The 24,480-nt window shown below is 44.1% G+C and overlaps 1 protein-coding gene and 1 pseudogene across 3 annotated transcripts in view; one reads left to right on the top strand and one right to left on the bottom strand.

Annotated features, from left to right (window-relative positions):
• Positions 1 to 24,480, bottom strand: part of CAP2 (cyclase associated actin cytoskeleton regulatory protein 2) — a 164,186-nt gene that overhangs the window by 12,433 nt on the left and 127,273 nt on the right. For all 3 annotated transcript variants that reach the window (NM_006366.3, NM_001363533.2, NM_001363534.2), the window contains 4 exons: positions 5,890 to 6,079; positions 4,200 to 4,375; positions 2,388 to 2,511; positions 2,205 to 2,287 (listed from right to left, as the gene is read on the bottom strand). In NM_006366.3, coding sequence (NP_006357.1) covers positions 2,205 to 2,287; positions 2,388 to 2,511; positions 4,200 to 4,375; positions 5,890 to 6,079 — 573 coding nt within the window. The remainder of the gene's footprint in view (positions 1 to 2,204; positions 2,288 to 2,387; positions 2,512 to 4,199; positions 4,376 to 5,889; positions 6,080 to 24,480) is intronic.
• On the top strand, positions 13,891 to 14,520 carry RPL7P26 (ribosomal protein L7 pseudogene 26; annotated as a pseudogene).

The following is a 24,480-nucleotide window of genomic DNA, read 5'->3' as shown; positions in this document are numbered from 1 at the left end:
TTTACATTAAAAAAAATGCTAACTGCTTATATATGGTTTCACCATTGCTACCTAAGCTTAATTTCTGTACGAATGAAAGGGAGCTTGAAATAAACTCTCTAAAATTAAGGTGTGTTTGTGGTATGTGTGTTAGGTTGCATTCTTTCCAAGATACTTTTCAACTGTGACACACTATGATTGCATGACTATGGCTAAACATGTACCCTCACCTCTGCCATCAAATATTACTTCACTGCTGTTACTTCTAGTTTTTTAAAATTAAAAATAATGTAAAGTGGGAAAAAGCATGTTTCTTTACATAGGAACTCCCACCATCCAAAATAGCTCTTCAGAAAGTGTGGTCTCATTAGGTTTCTATGAACCATGATCATCCTTGAAGTACCGGGCTTTTTCTGAAGATGAGCAACCTCCTTAAAATTTGCATGCGTAATAGTTTGGAGAGAAAGCAGTGTTATTAAATGGATAAATGTAGTGATCAGAAATACTAAACTGGGGCTGGGTGCTGTGGCTCATGACTGTAATCCCAGCACTTTGGGAGGCCGAGGCAGGTGGACCACTTGAGGTCAGGAGTTTGAGACCAGCCTGCCCAATATGGCGAAACCCTGTCTCTATTAAATATTCAAAAAATTAGCTGGGCCATGGTGGTGGTCACCTGTAATCCCAGCTACTCAGGGGGCTGAGGCATATGAGAATCACTTGAACCTGGGAGGTGCAGGTTGTAGTGTGCCGAGATTGCGCCTGGCCTGGGCCACTGCACTCCAGCCTGGGCCACAGAGCGAGACTCTGTCTCAAAAAAAAAAAAAGATAGAAGTTATAATTGGCCAAAACCAAGAAGTCCTTTAGATTTTGGCATATCATAAAATTCCATGTGGCTAAATCAAAATTATTATATATTTTAATTCACAGATTTTCTTCTGTTTTGCAAATTCAACTCCAACCCTACTTCTCAAGTTGTTTTTCTGATGATCTCACTGATTCTTTAGAAAAACTTTTCCTCTTCATGATCTAGGACCAATTTTTCCTGAGAAAAAAGTTCTCTTTGGAATGGGGCTAATCATACTAGGAGAGTCTCACAGTACTTTTATTTATGCATTAGTTGATTCACTCAAATCATATACCCATCAAACATTTACTGGACGCCTACTATGTGCAGGTACTGTGCAAGTTTCTGGGGCTATAAAGATTACATAGCTGTCCTTTTTTTCTTTTCTTTTTTTTTTTTTGAGACAGAGTCTCTCTCTGTTGCCCAGGCTGGAGTGCAGTGGCACAATCTCAGTTCACTGCAACCTCTGCCTCCCAGGTTCAAGTGATTCTCCTGTCTCAGCCTCCCAAGTAGCTGGGATTACAGGCACCCACCACCCCACCCGGCTAATTTTTGTGTTTTCAATATAGACAGGGTTTCACCATGTTAGCTAGGCTGGTCTCAAACTCCTGACCTCAGGTGATCCACCCGCCTTGGCCTCCCAAAGTGTTGGGATTACAGGCGTGAGCCACCATGCCTGGCCAGTTAGCTGTACTTGAAATTGAGATGGTATGCCAGTAATGGAAACACAAAATGGGATCTGTTAGAAGAGATTGAAAAGAAAGAACTAACACTGAGAAGTAAGAGAGGGGTCTACCAAGGAGGTGATGATAGAGCTGTGTCCAGAGGGAACAAGAATAGGAGTATTTTAGGTGGCCATGGGGGAGCAAGGCTCCTTCTTTTTTTTTTTTTTTTTTTTTTGAGATGGAGTCTTGCTCTGTCGCCCAGGCTGGAGTGCAGTGGCGCGATCTTGGCTCGCTCACTGCAAGCTCCACCTCCTGGGTTCACGCCATTCTCCCGCCTCAGCCTCCAGAGTAGCTGGGACTACAGGCGCCTGCCACCATGCCCAGCTAATTTTGTTTTCGTATTTTTAGTAGAGACAGGGTTTCACTGTGTTAGCCAGGATGGTCTCAATCTCCTGACCTCGTGATCCGCCCACCTCGGCCTCCCAAAGTGCTAGGGTTACGGGCGTGAGCCACCGCGACTGGCTGCAAGGCTGCTTCTTGGAGGCAGAGTGGATGGTCTGTGCAAGGCCGCAGCTTACAGTGTGGTTGGAAAGGCTGCTTATTACAGCGTGGTTGGAAAGGCTGCTTACTACAGCGTGGTTGGAAAGGCTCTGCTTATTACAGCGTGGTTGGAAAGGCTCTGCTTATTACAGCATGGTTGGAAAGGCTCTGCTTACCTGGATTTGAATGTCCTGGGAGTTGATCACTTCCACAATGCCCACCACATTGTCAAACACCAGGCCGAGTTTTTTACAGTTGTCTGTGGGGAGAAAAAACACAACAAAAAACCAACTCCACTAAATACATACAGCTTGTTTATAAAACATCATAATAACCATAGAGCCATAATTCTGCCCTACCAATTATAATGGAGTTTACTTTCCCTTTTATCTGAATAGTTGATTTTTCGCATTTGAAAATGTAAGCCACTTGTTTCAGCTCAGTCTCTGAAATCACAAGGTCATTCCTGTCCTCTTGGTACTCCTAGAATTAAGACAAATACAAATATTAAACATCAGCATATATAAACAGAAACCACTGCACACTGAAATTAGTACGAGCTCAGCATGAAGTATGGCTTTGCAATATATTCTTTTGGAACCATCTCCTTATAGATGAAACCACAGGTCTTACTCTGTCATTGTTAGGATGGGAAAAACGGAACCACTTCTTGGAAGCAAGTCAGTATCTCTTTGTAAACATCAGGTATCAGGCACCCTAGCAGGTGGGAGGCTGGAGCAGGGATGTGAGAGCTTTTTGTTGAGGCCTTGATGCCAAGTCTGGACTTGATGATGCAGCAAAACCTGCTGTGTCAAACAGGAGTTGGGCAAACAGGCTGGTGAAGGGTCACAGCAGTGGTCTAAGCCCTTGTGTTTTCAAGGCGATGACAACTCTCCAGGGACTTTGGTCCTTCATCTTTAGGGAAGCCCTCCAGATCAGCAGGAGACACCAGCTTTCATTACCATTTGAAGTGTCTATGTCCTGCTCACACACTTAGCCCGGGCAGTGGGGGGTGGCAGCAGTAGGGTACAGAGGTATCAATCCCTCCATCCATGGGACTGAACGAAACATCTCACAGCACATCAGAGTGGGGCACAGACTTCCCAGTTCCATATATTAACGGTCTGTCTTGCTGCCTGATTAAAAGCTTATAGAAAGAATAGCTAAATTCATAGAGACAGAAAGTAGAATGGTAATTGCCAGGGGCTGGGAGGGGTGCAGGGGGAGAAACAGGGAGCTATTGGTTAAGGGTACAGATTTTTGGTTCTGCAAGATGAAAAGAGTTCTGTAGTGGGTGGTGGTGATGGCAGCACAACCATATGAACAGACTTAATGCCACTGAGCTGGACAGTTAAACATGGTGAACAGTCCATTTTATGCTACGTCTATTTTACCACCACTCACAAAATAATTTAAAAAGTTGAAGAAAAGAATGCATGAGAACCTGTGAAAATAAAGTTTATGGAAGCATTCAGAAACACCCTGGTTTCTACTCTAGCCAGTGGTTTTTGCCTCTGTCACTTCACCTTGGTGGTTAATGGGTACGAACATATAGTCAGAAGGAATAAATTCTAATTCGACAGCAGAGTAGGGTAAATATAGTTAACAACACTGTCTTAAATATTTCAAAATAGCTAGAAAAGAGGCCTTGAAATGCTTCCATCACATAGAAATGATAAATACTCAAGGTAATGGACACCCTAAATATCCTGACTTGATCATTACCCATTCTTTTTTTTTGAGACAGAGTCTCACTCTGTCACCCAGGCTGGAGTGCAGTGGCGTGATCTCGGCTCGCTGCAACCTCCACCTCTCGGGTTCAAGTGATTCTCCTGTCTCAGCCTCTCAAGTAGCTGGGATTACAGGCACGTGCCACCATGCCCGGCTAATTTTTGTATTTTTAGTAGAGATAGGGTTTCACCATGTTGGCCAGGCTGGTCTCGAACTCCTGACCTCAGGTGATCCTCCCACCTCAAACCCCCAAAGTGCCGATCATTACACATTCTACGCATGTAACAAAATATCACAGGTACCCCATAAATATATACAAATGTTATGTACCAATACAAAAATTAAAAAAAAGAAATCCTTCAGATCTTGGTAAATGGTTTGGCTGTTGGTCCTTTCATTGGCGCATGTCAGGAAAATAAAGGTTAAAATGCTTCACTTACCACTCTCCATTTCTTTCCTTCCAACTCCAACACTGGGGCATGTTTTTGAGAAGGATAAGATTTAGGAGATGTGGGACTTGGAGTGTGACTTTTGGTGGGAGATTGAGTTTGCCCTCCTTGAGCCCGCAGGCTGGGATTTTTGTATGTCTTCTGGTCATCTGTGACATGGCGGAGCCCTAGGAGGACAACACACATGGACACATTTATTTTATGCAAAGGGAAATGTCTCTAACTTGCTAGATCAACATGATGTAAATAAAGAGCACAAGAACTTTTGGTAAGGCCACTTTCAAAACAGTCTAGTGCTTTCTCCAAGTCAGGATGCAGGAGCTGAGTCCTGTACAAGTTGAGAGTTGACAGAAGCACTGTAAGTTGTTGTTGTTGTTGTTGTTTTTTAAATGGAGTCTCGCTCTGTCACCTAGGCTGGAGTGCAGTGGCGTGATCTCGGCTCACTGCAACCTCTGCCTCCTGGGTTCAAGCGATTCTCCTGCCTCAGCCTCCCAAGTAGCTGGGATTACAGGCATGCACCACCACACGCTTAGCTAATTTTTGTATTTTTAGTAGAGATGGGGTTTCACCATGTTGGCCACGCTGGTCTTTGAACTCCTGACCTCAGGTGATCCACCCTCCTTGGCCTCCCAAAGTGCTGGGATTACAGGCGTGAGCCACTGCACCAGCCAAGTATTTTTTTTTTTTTTTTTAATTTGAGGAACCTCTTCTGTTGGGAGATAAAATGATAGATAAAAATTCTGCAAAGAGCAAACCACCTCACGAAAAAGGATCATGTCTTACTTCTTCTCTTACGGCTAAATCATTCTCCAGACACAGCCTAAAAGGTTAGGGCATTCCAGTGAGTATATATCAGGATATGGAATTGACTTTACGAATCCATTCCTTTACTTTGCAAATGAGTTTCACAAGGCACAGCAGAACCAGTTGGAGCCAGAGAAAAATTTAGAATTTTGGATTCTTAGCTCCAAGCCCAGTATAGTGGGATATAATTCTTTGACAAGCCTGTACACTGCTTCAGGACAGAGGAGCTAATGTTTGCCACTTTTATTTATTTAGAGACAAGGTCTCACTCTGTCACCCAGGCTGGAGTGCAGTGGTGCGATCTCAGCTCACCGCAGCCCCCACCTCCTGGGCTCAAGCGATCCTCCCACCTCAGATTCCTTAGTAGCTAGAACTGCAGGTGTGTGCCACAATGCCCAGCTAATTTCTGTTTATTTTTGGTAAAGATGGGGTCTCACTATGTTGCCCAGGCTGGTCTTGAACTCCTGGGCTCAAGCAATAGGCCTGCCTTGGCCTCCCAAAGTGCTGTGATTACAGGTGTGAGCCACCATGCCCAGCCTGCCATTTTTATTTTTATTTCACTTGATCTTGATGCCTTGGTTGTGGACAATGATGTGGAAGTACTGGGGTCTAAAGCAAGGATGCAGCACAGTGGTCCATTTAGAACCCAGAGTCTCTGAATACTTCTTTCTGGTCTACACAGTGACCCCCTGAGCCCGTCTGCATGGACATAAGGAACATGGCAGGCTCCTGTCTTCCCAGCACCAGTTCCCCCTCTCCCTGCATGCTGGAGGCAGGGATGGAGTGATGTATCCATCACTGGGGCTCCAGCGGCTCTTTTGTGTCTGGGAGCCAGAGGGAAAGGGAGGCAGCTTCAAGGTCTTCTTTTCTCTCTCACCTTTTGTAATTGCTTCTCCCTGGTTAAGTTGGGCAAATAAAGCTGAGCGTGAAGGAGAAGATTCCTCTTTTTTGCCTTCATTCTCGAAAAGTGGAGGTGGCCCTGGAGGAGGCAGAGGAGGAGGGGGTGGAGGAAGGCCAGGCCCAGAGGAGAGGACAGAAAACGCTGATACTGTGGATGCTACAGGACCCTGAGAAGACAGAAGACAGGGCATTGCATTGCATTGAGACTGCGCCCTTGCTGGGATTTTGCCCGAGAGAGTCGAAACCTGCTGCCAATGAGAGAGTGGGGTTGAAGCCTGAGCAAAGGCTCCCAGAGGGCACACCTGTGCATCATGGGTCTGTTTGGGAGGATCTGAACCATGGCAGCTCCAGCTTGGGAAAGTGGAACATGACTTAGCTGTGTGGCCCCATCAGTAGGATCTGTGCGGCAATGAGCCCTGCTGCCAAATCAGAGGCAAACGAGCCATACTCCCAAGTCCAGGTCCAAGGCTCAGGATCTAAATGACACTGGGCCTTGGCCAATTTAGAATCACAAGAAAAAAGTGATCCAATTGATAAAACGATTAGCTCTTTTGAGACACTGGAAACTGTGACCACCAATGGGGTGTGGGGAAGGGTAAAAATATTCAGTGGTGATTGGATGTTTCCGAACCTTTTTAAGCAGTGAAAGAGAGAGATACAGAAACTCTCTGGACCTGATTTTCCAAATATGCCTGCTGCAAACTGACCCCCAAACAAGGAGCATATGTGACCGGGATGCTTGTCAAACCCGAAGGTAATGAGGGTCCAGGATCCACATGACTTTTCATCAAATGTTGGCTGTTAGTGAACCAACTGAAAATTAGATTCTTCCTGATCCAAGAGCTATGGTTATTCTTATTTTCACTGCTATGTAAAGCACAACCTTTGTTTTCAGTATGAAAGCCTAACAAATTCAAATGGCAATAAGACGTGATAGACAAGAGAGAGACTTGCTTTAGTTCAGTTTTGCTTTTTTTTAAGGAGACAGGGTCTCACTCTACTGCCCAGGCTGTGTGCAGTGGCGTGAACATAGCTCACTGCAGCCCCAAACTCCTGGGCGCAAGCGATTCTCCTGGCTTAGCCTCCTGAATAGCTGGGACAACAGGCATGTGCCACTCTAACTGGCTAATTTTTAATTTTTTTTTTTTTTGAGAGATGAGGTCTCACTATGTTGCCCAGGCTGGTCTTGAACTCCTGGCTTTAAGTAATCCTCCTGCCCTGGCCTCCCAAAGTACCAGTTTTAATATTTTGGAAAATATCCAAAATATTGTATATCTGTGATATTTTCACAGAACTTAAAACTGGTAGGATAGAAACACACATATACCACAAACTTGGCCTATATACTGTTTTACTTTTATTTAATTTTGAGATGGAGTCTTGTTCTGTTGCCCAGGCTGGAGTGCAGTGGCATGATCTCGGCTCCCTACAACATCAGTCTCCCAGGTTCAAGCAATTCTCCTGCCTCAGCCTGTTGAGTAGCTGGGATTAAAAACATGCACCACCAAGCCCAGCTAATTTTTATATCTTTAGTAGACACAGGGTTTTGCCATGTTGGTCAGGCTGGTCTCGAACTCCTGACCTCAAGATTATCCACCCGCCTCAGCCTCCCAAAGTGCTGGGATTACAGGTGTAAGCCACTGTGCCCGGCCCTGTTTTACTTTTGAACCCTCAAGTAGAACTGTATACCTATAATAGGGAACTATAAACAAATTAAATAGTCACGAAGCTTAAAAAATTGCGAGTAATGGAAATGTGGCTTGGACTCATCAATTTTCAATATCAAATATGAAAGGTAAAACATTACGTAAGTGCCAAATATTAATGAAAACAGAATATCCTTATTGTCATAAACAATTTAGTATTATGCAGTATCAAAATCAGCGATTCTTAATCTGTAGTAGTTTTCAGTTAAAAACAAAACAAAACAAAACATGCTGGCTCGGGCATGGTGGCTCATGCCTGTAATCCTAGCACTTTGGGAAGCCGAGAAGGGTAGATCGCTTGGATCACTTGAGCCAGGAGTTTGAAACCAGCCTGGGCAACAAAGTGAGACCCTGTCTCTACAAAAAATACAAAAAATTAGCTGAGCATGGTGATGCATGCCTGTAGTCCCAGCTACTGCGGAGGCTGAGGTGGGAGGATCACCTAAGCCTGGGAGGCAGAGGTTGCAGTGAGTTGAGATCACGCCACTGTACCCCAGCCTGGAAAACAGAGAGTGAGACCCTGTCTCAAAGCAAAACAAAACAAAACAACACAACACGCTATTTTCAAAGCACTTATATAATTCCTATTAAGTGTAGAATTACCCTGAAAATAAAATATAATTGTCTTATTCAGAATGCATGTTTTAGAAACCCTGCAGGCTGGAGGGCTCATCTCCTGAAGATTTAATTTGCAATAGTCTTTGTTTCTAAGAAAGAGCAGCCTAATTCCATCAGGTTTCTTAGGTCAAGTAGAAAATGATTTCACAGTTCCTGAGACTGACCATTTTTCTCACCAGTATTTGAAATGTTTTCTATGTTACTGGGATAAAATTTGAGAATTTGCTCTGAATCAGAAAGAGAGTATAATATAAGCTTTGGACATCAAACAGTATTCTAGTCCTCAGACACTGAGAACCACGAAGTATTACTTTTACTCATAAGCACATCATAACTCATACAGCCGGTGAAGGGACAGCCCCTTCCCCCAACATCTGAAACACTGCAGCTTTATAGTCCTATTTTGTGTAAAGGGAAGATGATGCTGGCTTCTAAATCTTAAAATGATTTAGATGGTTCCCTAGCTCTCAGAATTCAGAGACTCTCTCTCCAAGAGCCATTAAAGGACACTGAAACTAAAAAGCCACATATTCAACTTTTTGGAACTTTGATACATTCAGATGGCTGGCCCAGGAACGCGAGACAAAGCATTTAATGCTACAAAGTTGAAAATAAAAGCCAAAAAATAAGGGAACTCAGGACCAGTTGAAACTCCATCTTGGTCTAATCCTTTGTATGTCCTGGCTTATTCCCATATCGGCCCCAGCAAGAGCACAATACCGGGCTCTTGTTTCCAAGGTTACTTTTCAATTAGCATTCAGGTGCTTTACCGTACAGTGGACTCGAAATCAAACTGATTAGATGTTCCCTTCACTGGATCTCCGTGAGCTGCCCCTTGCAAAGTCACTTATCTTTGCCTCCGTCTCTTCTCATTCTGTGGGAGATTACAGCACATGACAGGAGAACTTTCTATATTCTCTTATGTCTGGCCACAAGTGGAATCACAGCCTGACACTGTCTTCAGATGTCCCAAGAAAAAACAGAGAGAAGGCTGGGCGCGGAGGCTCACACCTGTATGTAGTCCCAGCACTTTGGGTGGCTGGGCTGGGTGGATCACCTGAGGTCAGGAGTTCAAGACCAGCCTGGCCAACATGGTGAAACACTGTCTCTACTAAAAATACAAAAATTAGCTGGGTGTGGTGGCTCACGCCTGTAATCCCAGCACTTTGGGAGGCCAAAAATTCCAAAGACGACTAGGCTGTGTCACAGAAATACTCTTGTGGGTGGAGGAGGTAGCAACATAGGCATCTGTATTTTTGGACCTTCCCTAGGTGATTCCAATCTGTAGACAAATTTGGGAATAAACATTCTTTCCTATGTGTTGAAATTAATCTTAATTATGACAACCATATTACTGGGACTGTACTGAAATATCTCTTTAACAAAAATACGGCAGGAAATCAGAAAGGCTGTTTAAATTCAATATTAAATGGCCAGTCAATGGTAAAGACATTATTGAATCACATATCTCCTTGATTCTAAAGCCTTCTTCAGGGAAATCTTTTATGCTATATTTGGACTTAAAAAAAAAAAGTCATGGCCAGTCACGGTGGCTCACGCCTATAATCCCAGCACTTTGGGAGGCCGAGGCAGAAGATCACCTGAGGTCAGGAGTTCAAGACCAGCCTGACCAACATGGCGAAACCCCGTCTCTACCAAAAATACAAAAATTAGCCTGGCGTGGTGGTGGGCACCTGTAATCCCAGCTACTCAGGAGGCTGAGGCAGGAGAATCGCTTGAACCTGGGAGGCAGAGGTTGCAGTGAGCCGAGATTGCGCCACTGCACTCCAGCCTGGGTGACAAGAGTGAGATTCCATCTCAAAAAAAAAAAAAAAAAGTCATTAGCCAAATTAAAGGAAGGTCTGGGCTACCTTGACTCATATGTAGCGCAGCCTGTGGGCCTCCGGCTAGAATAAATACGACAGAAGTATTGGGAAGTGGTGCAATATCTGGCTCAGTTTTTATCTCCACAACCCCTTGTTCCATCCCCCAGTGACTTTTAGCAGTTGACTGAGCTCCTACAGCACCTCTGGAACCAGTCTTGATCCTATGGGAATATAAGATGTCTTGTGCTTTGACAATTAAGTCACCCTGGATGCTGGTTTTGTTGTGACTCTGTGCCCTGCTTCTAGAAACTGGCCTCTTGCCTGGTTCATTTTTCCTGCGTACTCACTGGTTGCAGTAGGGGGGTACATGTACCCAGATCTTGACTCTCCGTCTAGGGCTCAAGTTGTTCTGAGATAGGGTTGTGACCTGTCTTCTGGAGACTAGAGATTGAAAAACACGACCCCTCAGGGTGATTTCATTTTAAAGTTAGACTCTCATGGCAGAGGTAATGTACCAGGTTGTCTAGACTGGATGAGAAGGAAAGGATCAGATCAGAGCCTGCAGCCTTGGGTGCCCATCGAGTGATCCACTACTTCTCAATCCCAGTGGGCAACTGTGGGAGAACAGGCTCTGTGGGACAGCAGAGCCCACAGGAGAGGGGGCACGGGCGGAGGGCAGATTTTGTATCCTTTACAATCTGAGTTAGATCAGTCTAGAGATACAAAAGGATCGCTCCCAGATGGGCAAACCTTGTGTAGGCGGTGCCAAGAACGAGGGCTAGGAAGAGCCTCTGAACTAACAGTACCTGCCCAGGAACCTGACTGAGATGGGTAAGACATGACAGGGTTCTCTTCCCTACCATTTACCAGTGACAGTCTTGAGAAACTGCAGCCATAGCCTGCAGACTGCATTCGTGCCTCTGCAGAATGAACACAAGCTATATGGTTGGATCTGCACATGGAGAATTCAACAAAGACACCAAATAAGAGATGTTTACTTGTAAATTATCAGAATATTTCTGGTCCTTCTCAAAAGAAGGCTTTTCTTAATAACAAATTCTTTTATAGTATGTTTTATCCTAACAGTTAGTTTCATTTTATTTCTACAATGTAGAATCATACATCTAAAAGCTTCCAGGACCTACAGGATTCTGATGTCATGTAACTTGCACAAAGCCACATGGACAGGAAAGTGAAGTTGAGAACTGAATGGAGGTATCCTGGCCTAGGAGCCTGAAGGGAGACAGACTTAACCTTAGTTAAGGAGCAGTGATCCATACACAAATGCTTTTTTAAAAAACAACTTTGTTACGTTGATGAAATGAGTCACTTAAGTATCTTAGCGCCTCAGACTGGGAATAATGAAAAAGTACGTTCTATTGGAGTCATTGTAACAATGGTTTACAACTTAAAAAAATGAGGCTGGGCGCAGTGGCTCACGCCTGTAATCACAGTACTTTGGGAGGCCGAGGTGGGTGGATCACGAGGTCAGGAGATCAAGACCATCCTGGCCAACAGGGTGAAATCCCATCTCTACTAAAAATACAAAAATTAGCTCGGCATGGTGCACACGCCTGTTGTCCCAGCTACTTAGAAGGCTGAGGCAGGAGAATCGCTTGAACCCAGGAGGCAGAGGTTGCAGTGAGCCGAGATCACGCCACTGTACTTCAGCCTGGTGACAGAGGGAGACTCCATTTCAAAAAAAAAAAAAAAGAAAGAAAAGCTGCACATCTATGATTTTAAATGCCCATATTCAGAGTACAAAAGTTCACTTCTGTTGCAAGAACACAGCACAACGCCGAAAAATGCTGCATTTAAGGTCTATTAAGATTAATTTTGAGAGCAGATATTCAATTATATACTTTTTTTAAATTGGCACAAAGACTTTTTAAAAAGCTACTGTACTGCAAATCCCTTACTCTAAGTTAATTTCAGCTGTCCTGGGAACAGCTGCCTCCTCTATTTTTAAATATATGAACTGTAGCTATAAAATAATGAAACCAATATGCAGTGTGTGGAAGGTTTGTGATTTTTTTGGATACATATACTATATATAAGTATACTCTATTTAATATAGTTCTATACTAATGTACATCAAAATTTGTTTTCATTAAATGTTACTTCTTGAAATACTAATCGCTTTATTACTTTAGATTTTATTATGAAAGGGAAAACACTTCCAAGTTCTTTTTTTTTTTTTTTTTTTTGGTGGGGGGTGTTGAGATGGAGTTTTGCTCTTGTTGCCCAGGCTGGAGTGCGATGGTGTGATCTCGGCTCACCGCAACCTTCACCTCCCGGGTTCAAGTGATTCTCCCGCCTCAGCCTCCCGAGTAGCTGGGATTACAGGAGTGCACCACCACGCCCAGCTAATTTTTTGTATTTTTAGTAGAGACAGGGTTTCTCCATGTTGGTCAGGCTAGTCTTGAACTCCCGACCTCAGGTGTTATGCCTGCCTCAGCCTCCCAAAGTGCTGGGATTACAGGCGTGAGCCACCACGCCTGGCCAACACTTCCAGTTTTTTTTGTGTGTGTGTGTTTTTTTTTTTAGTATCGCTCAGTCGCCCAGGCTGGAGTGCAGTGGCGTGATCTCAGCTCACTGCAACCTCTACCTCCTGGGTTCAAGTGATTTCTCCTGCCTCAGCCTCCCAGTAGCTGGGATTACAGGTGCCTGCCACCACGCCTGGCTAATTTTTTTGAATTTTTAGTAGAGAAGGGGTTTCACTATGTTGGCCAGACTGGTCTCAAACCCCTGGCCTCAAATGATTCACCCACCTCGGCCTCCCAAAGTGTTGGGATTACAGGCGTGAGCCACTGCACCCTACCTAAACTCTAAGATTTTCAAACCCAGCTGGGCGCGGTGGCTCACGCCTGTAATCCCAGCACTTTGGGAGGCCGAGGCTGGCGGATCACCTGAGGTCAGGAGTTCGAGACCAGCCTGGCCAACATGGTGAAACCCTGTCTCTACTAAAAATACAAAAATTAGCCAGGCATGGTGGCACACACCTGTAATCCCAGCTACTCAGGAGGCTGAGGCAGGAGAATCACTTGAACTCGGGAGGCGGAGGTTGCAGTGATCCCAGATCGTGCCACTGCACTCCTGCCTGGGGGATAGAGTGAGACTCTGCCTCCAAAAAAAAAAAAAAAAAAAAAAAGATTTTCAAACCCAACAATAGAGGTAGTAGAGAATTTGGTTTGAGTAGAATCTAACTCTTAATAGTTGGATTAAAAGTGAATTGAATAACTAAGGCTGCTTTGTCAGTCTACTAAACAAACATTTACCAAGGGCTACCTTGCTGGGAATGGGGTACTTGATGAGGAAACAGGCATACGTTCTGTTTTTTAAGAAGCTCATAATCTAGTGGAGGTGACAAATGCACAAAGAAGTAATTGTAGATGAAGTGTGATATGAACCACACATCACATGCATGAGGGATGCTGGGGTGCAAAGGTGGAAGTGACCAGCTCTCCTCAGGACGGTCTGGGTGATTTGCAGGTATCTTTATCCTAAAAGGAGAAGCTGAAGGGCTTTAAGCATGGGGGGAATGTATATAGACGACATTGATCTCCAACTTTAAGTACAGGTCAGACAACCTATTAGTGTTCTTACCCATTTTTAACAAGCAGAGACCACTCTTTTTCTGGCTGGAACCATGGAAGGTGTAGAAGAGAAGAAGAAGGTTCCTGCTGTGCCAGAAATGCTTAAGAAAAAGCGAAGGAATTTCGCAGAGCTGAAGATCAAGCACCTGAGAAAGAAGTTTGTCCAAAAGATGCTTTGAAAGGCAAGGAAGAAGCTTATCTATGAAAAAGCGAAGCACTATCACAAGGAATATAGGCAGATGTACAGAACTGAAATTCAAATGGCGAGGATGGCAAGAAAAGCTGGCAACTTCTATGTACCTGCAGAACCCAAATTGGCGTTTGTCATCAGGATCAGAGGTATCAATGGTGTGAGCCCAAAGGTCTGAAAGGTGTTGCAGCTTCTTCCCTTCGTCAAATCTTCAACAGAACCTTTGTGAAGCTCAACAAGGCTTCAGTTAACATGCTGAGGATTGTAGAGCCATACACTGCATGGGGGTACCCAATTCTGAAGTCAGTAAATGAACTAATCCATAAGTGTGGTTATGGCAAAATCAGTAAGAAGCGAATTGCTTTGACAGATGAGGCTTTGATGGCTCAATCTCTCGGTAAATATGGCATCATCTGCAGGGAGGATCTGATTCATGAGATCTATACCATTGGAAAACACTTCAAAGAAGCAAATAACTTCCTGTGGCCCTTCAAATTATCTTCTCCACGAGGCAGAATGAAGAAAAAGACCACCCATTTTGTAGAAGGTGGAGATGCTGGCAACAGGGAGGACCAGATCAACAGGCTTATTAGAAGAATGAACTAAGGTGTCTACCATGATTATTTTTCTAAGCTGGTCAGTTAATAAACAGTACCTGCTCTCAAACTGAAAAAAAAAAAAGTGGGAGACCAAAAAAATGAAAAAAATATCACCTGACAGTCTCTTGGAACAGGTGGATTATGTTGCTCACAGAACAATTTTTGTTAAGATGTTTCTTCCACAGAGCTAGCTTAGTGGTAGTACTGTTGTGAGCCACCTGTCTTTACATATTTGTGAAGATTGTACATAAAGCCACAAAATGAAACAGCTGACATGCCGTGGCACTGTTCATGGGTATTTCCTCTCCCTCATCCTTCCTTTATGAGCCCCTCCTCGAACTGTCCTTCATGGACACAAACACACACTCCCTTTTGTTTGTCAGTTAGATTCTCTTTAACTGCCCATCTCTGAACTATCCTGGCCCAATAACCACCCGGCTTACCATTAATGATCTCTAGGTAGCAGTGACAACTTATAGGTCTCCAATCATACACTTTAAAAGCAGGTTAGGCCCAGTGCAGTAGCTCATCCCAGTAAAGTAAAGTAATCCCAGTACTTTGGGAGGCTGAGGTGGAAGGGCCACTTGAGCTCAGGAGTTAGAGATCAGCACAGGCAACATAGTGAGATCCTGTCTCTACTAAAAGTAAAAAAATTAGCCGGGTGTGGTGGTTATGTGCCTGTGGTCTCAGCTACCTGGGAGCTGGGAGGCTGAGGTGGGAGGATTGCTTGATCCCGGGAGATTGAGCTGCAGTGAGCTATGATGGCACCACTGCACTCTAGCTGGGAGACAGAGACCCTGTCTCAAAAACTAAAAGCAGTTTCAAAATCACAAAGCCATTTCAATCACAAGTACACTTACATCTTCATGCTACAACTATAGAGACTAACAATGCTTTACAATGGAACTTTTTTTTTTTTTGGTCTCACTATGTTGCCCAAGCTGGTCTCGAACTCCTGGGCTCAAGAGAGCCTCCCACCTTGGCCTCCCAAAGTGACAACTGAATATTTTAATAAAATACTCTTTATCAATTTTTCCAAAGACAAAGAATCCCAAATGGCCTTGTGTAATATGGAACATAAAACATGAACATGATAAGCCTCTCATATAGCATAATAGGAGGGAGTGATTAAAAGAAAGAACTACCAGTTTTAGAACAGACCTAATGTTTTATACACATAAATCAGATGGTCTTCCTTCACAAATTCATACTGTAGGGTGTGTTTATACATATATATATATATATATATTTTTTTTTTTTGAGACGGAGTCTTGCTCTGTTGCCCAGGCCGGAGTGCAGTGGCGTGATCTCGGCTCACTGCAAGCTCCGCCTCCCAGGTTCACGCCATTCTCCTGCCTCAGCCTCCTGAGTAGCTGGGACTACAGGCGCCTGCCACCATGCCCGGCTAGTTTTTTGTATTTTTAGTAGAGATGGGGTTTTACCATGTTAGCCAGGATGGTCTCGATCTCCTGACCTCGTGATCCGCCTGCCTTGGCCTCCCAAAGTGTTGGGATTACAGGCGTGAGCCACCACGCCCAGACAGAGTGTGTTTATATTTTCAATGTCAAAACTAATTTCTTTCTATTTTATGCAAGATGTACATTGATCAATAACTTAGTGAAACTGACACCTTTCCAAATTTGTTAATTTCCATAATAACTTGCAAATTTTACATTCATATTTATAGCACACTTTTATTAGAAGACAACTATAGTCAAGTAAAAAGGTGCACATAAAACTAAAAGATGATCATCCTGTATAATGTGAGTGTAACTGAATTGAATTTATGACTTTTGTCTCCATTCTCTTATTTTTATCATTTATTGGAATTAAAAAAATTTTTTTTTTGTAGAGATGGGGTCTCACCACATTGCCCAGGCTGGTTTCAAACTCCTGGGCTTAAGTGATCCTCCTGCCTTGGCCTCCCAAAGTGCTGGGATTACAGGCGTGAGCCACTGCACCCGGCTCCACTTCTTAGAATTTTGAGACTTCTGTCAATAAAAACAAAGTTTCTGGGGGCCTTTCCAAGAACACAGAATTGTTAATAATACCACAGTGAAGTGCTGTATAATATTTTAAATATATGTTTATTAATAATTTTTAAAAAGTCAATTTGGGGAAAACAGAACACTACTGGAATTTCAGATTTCCATGAAAGTACTAACGGTACTTAAATACAGTCAAAATAAAAAGACAGTCCCACAAATATGAAGGAATTGTGGGGCCCATTTGGATCCGTTTTCTTCAGAGGCAAAGCTCCAAACACCCTTATCCCAAGATACAAAGACCAGGGGAAAGGTCAAAAAACTCAGATCTCATGGTTTCGTCGATGATTTCTGATGGTTTCATGATTCTCCACTCCTCCCACCCTCCTGTGGTCCCTGTATGTCATTCCTTTGATGACCTGGAAAGATCTGAGCTTTGGCAGTACATGAAAAAAAGACAGAGCAGAAAGCAAAGTTGCTTTAGAGAAGTAACAACAGCTTAAAATCAGAAAACAGCCTGGGAATAACATGTGCTGTCTATATTAGTACCTGTAAACCAGTAACTTAGTGTCTTTATGTTTGTTTTTCTCTAATTTATGCAGATGCTCCTTGACTTATAATGGGGTTTCGTCCCATAAACCTATTATAAGTTGAAAATATTGTAATAGTCAAATATGCATTTAATACACCTAATCTATTGAACCTCGTGGCTTAGCCTAGGCTAACGTAAACGTGTTCAGAACACTTACATTAGTCCACGGTTGGGCAAAACCTTCTAACACCAAGCCTATTTTACAATAAAGGGTTGAATATCTCAGGTAATTTATTAAATAGTGTACTGAAGTCAAAAACAGAATGCCTGTATGGGTACTCAAACTGCTACCTGTATACCCAGATGTGGCCCTTCTAAAAACATAGGTGGTGATTTCTTTTCTACATGCTCAAAGTAAAAATTTTTGATAAAAGCAGACCAAGCCCTCAGAGTAGAGTCCAGAAGAATATAATGAACACATGGCCAGGCACAGTGGCTCACGCCTGTAATCCTAGCACTTTGGGAGGCCAAGGCAGGTGGATCGCTTGAGGTCAGGAGTTCGAGACCAGCCTGGCCAACAGGCCAACATGGTGAAACCTCATCTCTACAAAATATATAAAAATTAGCCAGGCATGGTGGCACAACCTGTAATCCCAGCTACTCAGAAAGCTGAGGCACAAGAATCGCTTGATCCCGGGAGGCGAGACTGCAGCGAGCCGAGATCGTGCCACTGCACTCCAGCCTGGGCGACAGAGCAAGACTTTGTCTCAAAAAAAAAAAAAAAAAGAAAGAGAACAAAAATGAAAAAGAATATAATGAACACAATCTAATATGCTCAAGTGATCCATATATTCTGCATAAATTGCCTTGATATGTGGCCATAATTATTAGTTTGGCTTTGCTGACATTTAGATCAAATCTGGAATTTCCAGATTGTCTTTTCTTCTTGTCTGCCAGCTTGAGAATACAATTTCTCATAAAAAAGGAAAGATAAAATTAAATTTTCCATGGGAAAACTTTCCAGGGTTAAAGATAGCAGAGTATACTCATCAAAGAAACAAACTCAAGAGGCCCAACAGTTATATAAAGACCAAGAGGGACATGTGGCTTGAATTAGCTGGACAGCTACTTCATTTGGCCAGAAGGGCCTAAGTCTGAACTACCACTAAATTCAGGTTTTTTTCTTTCAGATTTCAGGGGCATACAGAAACGACTGTACTTTCTCCAATTATCTATACTTAGTAGATAGTAGAGGTGGGGGTTAAGGCAAAACAATAGCTGTTAGAAAGATTAGTTACCTTTGGCTCCATATTATATATGCATTTTGTTTATTTAGGGATGCTTAGTTTGCATCAAGGGTGCAGACTGGACCAATAAACCGTGGCCAGGGCTTGCCTATGTGTTCTTTTTTTTTTTTTTTTTTTTTTGAGACAGAGTCTTGCTCTGTCGCCCAGGCTGGAGTGCAGTAGCATGATCTCAGCTCACTGCAATCTCCGCCTCCTGGGTTCCAGCGATTCTCCTGCCTCAGCCTCCCGGGTAGCTGGGACTATAGGCATGCGCCACCATGCCCGGCTAATTTTGTATTTTTAGTAGAGACGGGGTTTCACCATGTTGGCCAGGCTGGTCTCGAACTCCTGACCTCAGGGGATCTGCCTGCCTCAGCCTCCCAAAGTGCTGGAATTACAGGCGGGAGCCACTACGCCCAGCCTGTGTGTTCTGTTTTATGAAGGGTTTGTTTTACCTTTAGAAGATAATCTGCACCTTCCCCCATTTCCCTTTTTAAGAAAACAGTTTTTGCTTAAGTTAATACTACCTTCTGTTTCCTGAGTTTATACCAACTGAGAATGAAAGGCAGTGGGTGACAAGGGACAGGAGCAGAGGAGGTGTGGGCGGTTGATGGGTGTTCCTGAATAAAATGCATTGTCCATTCCATTCCTATCACTGGACAGAAGGAAAGACACATTTTGGCTGGGTGCGGTGGCTGACGCCTGTAATCCCAGCACTTTGGGAGGCACAGAAGGTTGGATCACCTGAGGTCAGGAGTTTGAGACCAGCCTGGCCAACATGGTGAAACGCTGTCTCTACTAAAAATACAAAAATTAGTCAGGTATGGTGGTGCGTGCCTGTAATCCCAGCCGCTCTTGAGGCTGAGGCAGGAGAATAGCTTGAACCCGGGAGGTGGAGGTTGCAGTGAGCTGAGTTCACACCACTGCACTCCAGGTTGGGCGACAGAGCGAGACTCCATCATTAAAAAAAAAAAAAAGACACATTTTCATGCAGCTTTTGAAAAACAGACATGATCTATAGTTAATGGACTAACGCTTTGGAAATTTCATTGTGATGACAAATGAATACAGTGGATTTAGCAAATGTGTTTGAATCCTATCTGTTTTCAAGTCACTGCTGTCCCAGAACCAGGGTACCAGTCACTGCTACTGATCTCAGGCTGAACTGGAAATGGAGCCTGCATTCAATGAGCTCATAGTTTAGGAAGAGAGGATACTTCTGTGTTCCCAGACGTGGCAGGCACTTGGCTCCCAGACTTTGAGTCTTTGCTCAGGGCGTGTCTAGTTTGGAAGGCTCTTGCCCAACTGACTATCTGGAAAACAGCCTTCAAGCCTCAACCAAAATGTGTCTTTCCTCCTTTCGTAGGGTTTTTGGAACTCTCTTAGGAGGGAATTCCATGTTTCAATGTGGCACAGTGCCTGAAACATGGTTAAGTGCTTCATAAACATGTTACTGAATGAGAAAATAACTGCCATATAAGGTAGGAAATGCTAAGCAACACAAAAGAAATGGAGAGTATAAGAAGTGCTATGCAGCCGCTGAGGATGGAAGGATAACTTCCAGCTTGTGGTGGGCATGGTGATAAGCAGAGGTTGGAGAAGCTTCTTTTTTCTTTCTTTTTTTTTTTTGAGATGGAATCTTGCTCTGTCACCCAGGCTGGAGTGCAGGAGTGCAGTGTGTGATCTACGCTCACTGCAGCCTCCGCCTCACAGGTTCAACCGCCTCGCAGGTTCAATAAATGTATATTAACTTGCTAGCCCTTATTTTAGAGAGCTTTGAATTCTTGATTATGAAAAAGTTCTGGTAAATAAAATAATACTGACCATTAAAGTAGGCAGCTTTAAAAGCTACTACTATTTTGATTGATGGAGAGAAAGATTTAATACTCTAAAATGGCCAGGTGTGGTGGCTCATGCCTGTAATCCCAGCACTTTGGGAGGCCAAGGCGGGAGGATCACCTGAGGTTAGGATTTCGAGACCAGCCTGGCCAACATGGTGAAACCCCATTTCTATTTTTAAAAAAAGTACAAAAAGTAGCCAGGTGTGGTGGCGCGCACCTGTAGTCCCAGCTACTCGGGAGGCTGAGGCAGGAGAATCGCTTGAACACGAAAGGCAGAGGTTGCAGTGAGCCAAGATCATGCCACCACTGAACTCCAGCCTGGGTGACAAGAGCGAAACTCCAACTCAAAAAAAAAAAAAAAAAGAAAAGAAAAGAAAAGAAATACTCTAAAATATTTATAGATTCTTATTAAGGTATGAGGCAGGCTTGACTGGGGCTGGGCAGGACTTGAATGCCAAACCAGACTGAAGACTCGCTGCAATGGGGGAAAGAGGTGAAAGCACCTCTCCAGAAGACATGCCCACCAGGGCCATGTCAGTTGACCACTGCCATGGCAACACCTGGAAGTTACTAACTACCCCTTTCCATGGCAATGACCTGGAAGTTATCACCTCTTTTCTAGAACTTTCTGAATAACTTCCCCCTTAATTTGCCTATAATTAAAAGTGAATATAAATATAATGGCAGAATGGTCCCTGAGCTGCTACTCTGGGCACAGTTCCTATGGTACCCCTGCTGCTGCTGCACATTGCTGCTGCCATAGAAGCTGCTGTCTAACACCGCTGGCTCACCCTTGAATTCTCGCCTGGGCAAAGCCAAGAACCCTCCTGGCTAAGCCCCACTTTTGGGGTTCACCTTCCCTGCATCATTATCAACTGACACTAAAACTCAAAGGTATTTATGAGATAATAAAAACAGTTCTAAATAGAACACATTTACTTAGAGCTTCACAGTATAGCTCTTAATGACTGTGTGTGAAATTGGAGATATTTGACTATTTTTCACCTATTCTATTGAAGATATAGCACAGATTAAAATGAAAATTCACAAATACCCCAAATTTCAAAAGGCAGAAATTGAAGCCATAAGAAATAATCCATCAAATTAGACAACTGGTCCAGAAATAATCAAGAGATCATTACAGGAAAACTTCTTACTCCTTTTTTTTTTTTTTTTTTTTTTGAGACAGAGTCTTTCTCTGTCACCAGGCTGGAGTGCAGTGGCGCGATCTCAGCTCACTGCAACCTCTGCCTCCTGGGTTCAAGCCATTCTCTCCTGCCTCAGCCTCCTGAGTAGCTGGGACTACAGGCATGCGTCACCACGCCCAGCTAATTTTTGTATTTTTAGTAGAGACGGGGTTTCATCATGTTGGCCAGGATGGTCTTGATCTCTTGACCTTGTGATCCAACCGCCTCAACCTCCCAAAGTACTTTGATTACAAAAACATTTTACTCCTTAATTCTGTAAAACTGCATCTGCCTCCAGTCCTCCAGAAACTGCTCTTGGAAGGTTACTAATAACATGGTAAACATGGCTGATGACAGCCTTTGTCCAATCCTTATTCACCACAGCTTACTACAGTTGGTATCACTGGCCAGCCTGTTTTCCCTATAGCTTTGAGACTCTCCATTCTTCTAGTTCTCCTATCTCTTGTCTCCTTGATTAGTTTACCCCATTCTTGAAATAATAGTGTTTTCCAAGGTTTTATCCTTGATCTCACTCTCTCTTTTTTAACCATCTTATTTATTTGCCGGTCTTTTCTAGGTAGATGACTCCCAACACGTACATCGGGGTCTCCCCCTTCAGTGAATTCCAGATCTAAATCTCACCTCCTGACTCCACGTGTTTGGATGTCTCTCCTATACCTCCCGCACCTCAAACACAATGCAGTGAAACCCCAGGTGAAGATTTTTCTTCCTTCTCTACCAGCTCCTCCTTGCGATTTCCCTATTTTTATATTACCACGATTCTCTCCCAGACTTCCAGATTGGAAATTTTGTGTTAGATTTTATGTCCCTTGTCCTCCAACTCAGTGGCTACTCCATCTCTTTGCATTGCCATTGTCACACTCTAGGTCACATACTAACTACCTCACCCTCTAGCCATCCACTAAAGTCTCCCAACACGTATCAGGGCCTCTAATCTCTTCCCCTCTCCATCTATCTTATGCAATTCCTAAGTCATTATTCACAGTGTGTTGCTTTCTGCTTAAGAACCCATGCAGGCTGGGTACGGTGGCTCACACCTGTAATCCCAGCACTTTGGGAGGCCAAGGCGAGTGGATCACCTGAGGTATCAGCCAGGCATGGTGGCATATGGCTGTAGTACCGGCTACTCTGGAGGCTGAGGCAGGAGAATCACCTGAACCCAGAATGCGGAGGTTGCAATGAGCCGAGATCGTGCCACTGCACTCCAGCCTGGCGACAGAGTGAGACTCTGTCTCAAAAACAAAAAACAAACAACAAAACCTATGGCAAAGGAAACAACTTCAAACACTACATAGCCCCACCTTCTTAGCATAATGCATAAGGATTTCACCATCTGGCCCCAACCTGCCTTTCTGGCCTCACCTTTTGCCACATTCAGCTCTGCAAAACCACCAGCCTTTCTCTCAAAGTACATTGTTCATGTCTTACGTACATATGCTGAATTCTCTGCCCCAAAACTGCCCTTCCCTTTACTGTTTGCCTAGGGAACTCCTGCTCACCGTCAAGATCCAAATCAAGTGTCAGCCCTTTTGTGGCTCTTCGTGCCCACCCAGGAAGGAGTCTAATTCACAAGGCTTATTTTCCAACCTAGCTTTGTATTGCTGTTATTTATTTATGCATCATAATAAAAACCCTGCTGCTTCACGGAAGAACTGTAGTATAAATATAATGCCTGGTGTGTGCTTGGTACATGGTAAGTAGCCAATAAGTAGTTACCAAGGAAGTGAATTACTAAATAAATGAACGTGTAAAAGTGAATGATTTCCCTATAACAACTCCTTTGGCCCAACTTAAATACAGTAGAGCAGTGCTTTTCGAACTTCACTATGCATATAAATTACCTGGGAATCCTGTTGAAAAGTAGGTTGTGATTTGGGAGGGCTGAGGTGGGGCCTGAGAGCCTGAGATTTCTTTTTTTTTCTTTCCTTTTTGTCTTTTTTGAGACAGAGTCTTGCTCTGTCGCCCAGGCTAGAGTCCCGTGGTGCAATGCAGGCTGACTGCAACCTCCACCTCCCAGGTTCAAGCGATTCTCCTGCCTCAGCCTCCTGAGTAGCTGGGATTACAGGTCTGCACCACCACGCCCAGCTAATTTTTGTATTTTTAGTAGAGACAGGTTTTCACCATGTTGGCAACACTGGTCTCGAACTCCTGACCTTAGGTGATCTACCCGCCTCAGCCTCCCAAAGTGCTGGGATTACAGGCTTGAGGTACCGCGCCCAATCAAGGGGCCTGAGCTTTCTAACAAGTGCCCAGGTTGCTGTTGGCCCCAGAACCATGCTGCACTACAGGATGGGCCGTATCTTCCACGTGGTCCTGGTCTATGCAAGCGTCATGCCTTGTGTGGATTCCCTAGCACACTGCTCCCCCTGTTCTATCATGGTGCATTGCTCATCTTCTTCAGCTAGAATGCGCGTTTCCGTGGACAGGAATCGTGTCCACAATGCCATCTACCCATCTTTGTATTCTTAGCCCCTTGCCCAGAACTCAGTGCATAGTAGATGCTTAAGCCATATTGGTTTAATTATGTGGTCTCTGTCAGGCTGAACTCACAGCCACTTCCAACCTAACTTTACTATCTACCTGTGCATTTGAGGCTTCTTTGTTAGTTGATGACACTTCTTTTTTTTTTCTGAGACGGAGTCTCGCTCTGTGGCCCAGGCTGGAGTGCAGTGGTGCCATCTTGGCTCACTGCAAGCTCCGCCTCCCAGGTTCATGCCATTCTCCTGCCTCAGCCTCCCGGTAGCTGGGACTACAGGCACCCGCCACCTTGTGCGGCTAATTTTTTTTTTTGTATTTTTAGTAGAGACAGGGTTTTACCGTGTTAGCCAGGATGGTCTCGATCTCCTGACCTCATGATCTGCCCGCCTCGGCCTCTCAAAATGCCGGGATTACAGGCATGAGCCACTGCGCCCAGCCAGTTGATGACACTTCTAACCCCTGTTGAGCAATGTGGAACCCTTCCATAAGAGAATAAGAGTAACTGGCCACCCAGAGCCCCAGAAGGGACCTAGAAGCCCAAACTGAACTAAGTAGAACGACGCAGCTGTGGTCAGGTACACTGGCCAGGGCCACTCCGTGGGAAGAGCCATAGAGAACAGTGAGCTTTGTCATCAGACAACCAACACATCATCTGAGGCGCTGCCCATTCACTTTGATTAATACCCCTAAGGTGTGGGTTTGG

This window comes from Homo sapiens, chromosome 6, assembly GCF_000001405.40.
Source record: "Homo sapiens chromosome 6, GRCh38.p14 Primary Assembly".
NCBI lineage: Eukaryota > Metazoa > Chordata > Mammalia > Primates > Hominidae > Homo > Homo sapiens.
Note: the sequence above shows the minus strand (reverse complement) of the source record. Positions and strands in the feature narration are given on the sequence as shown.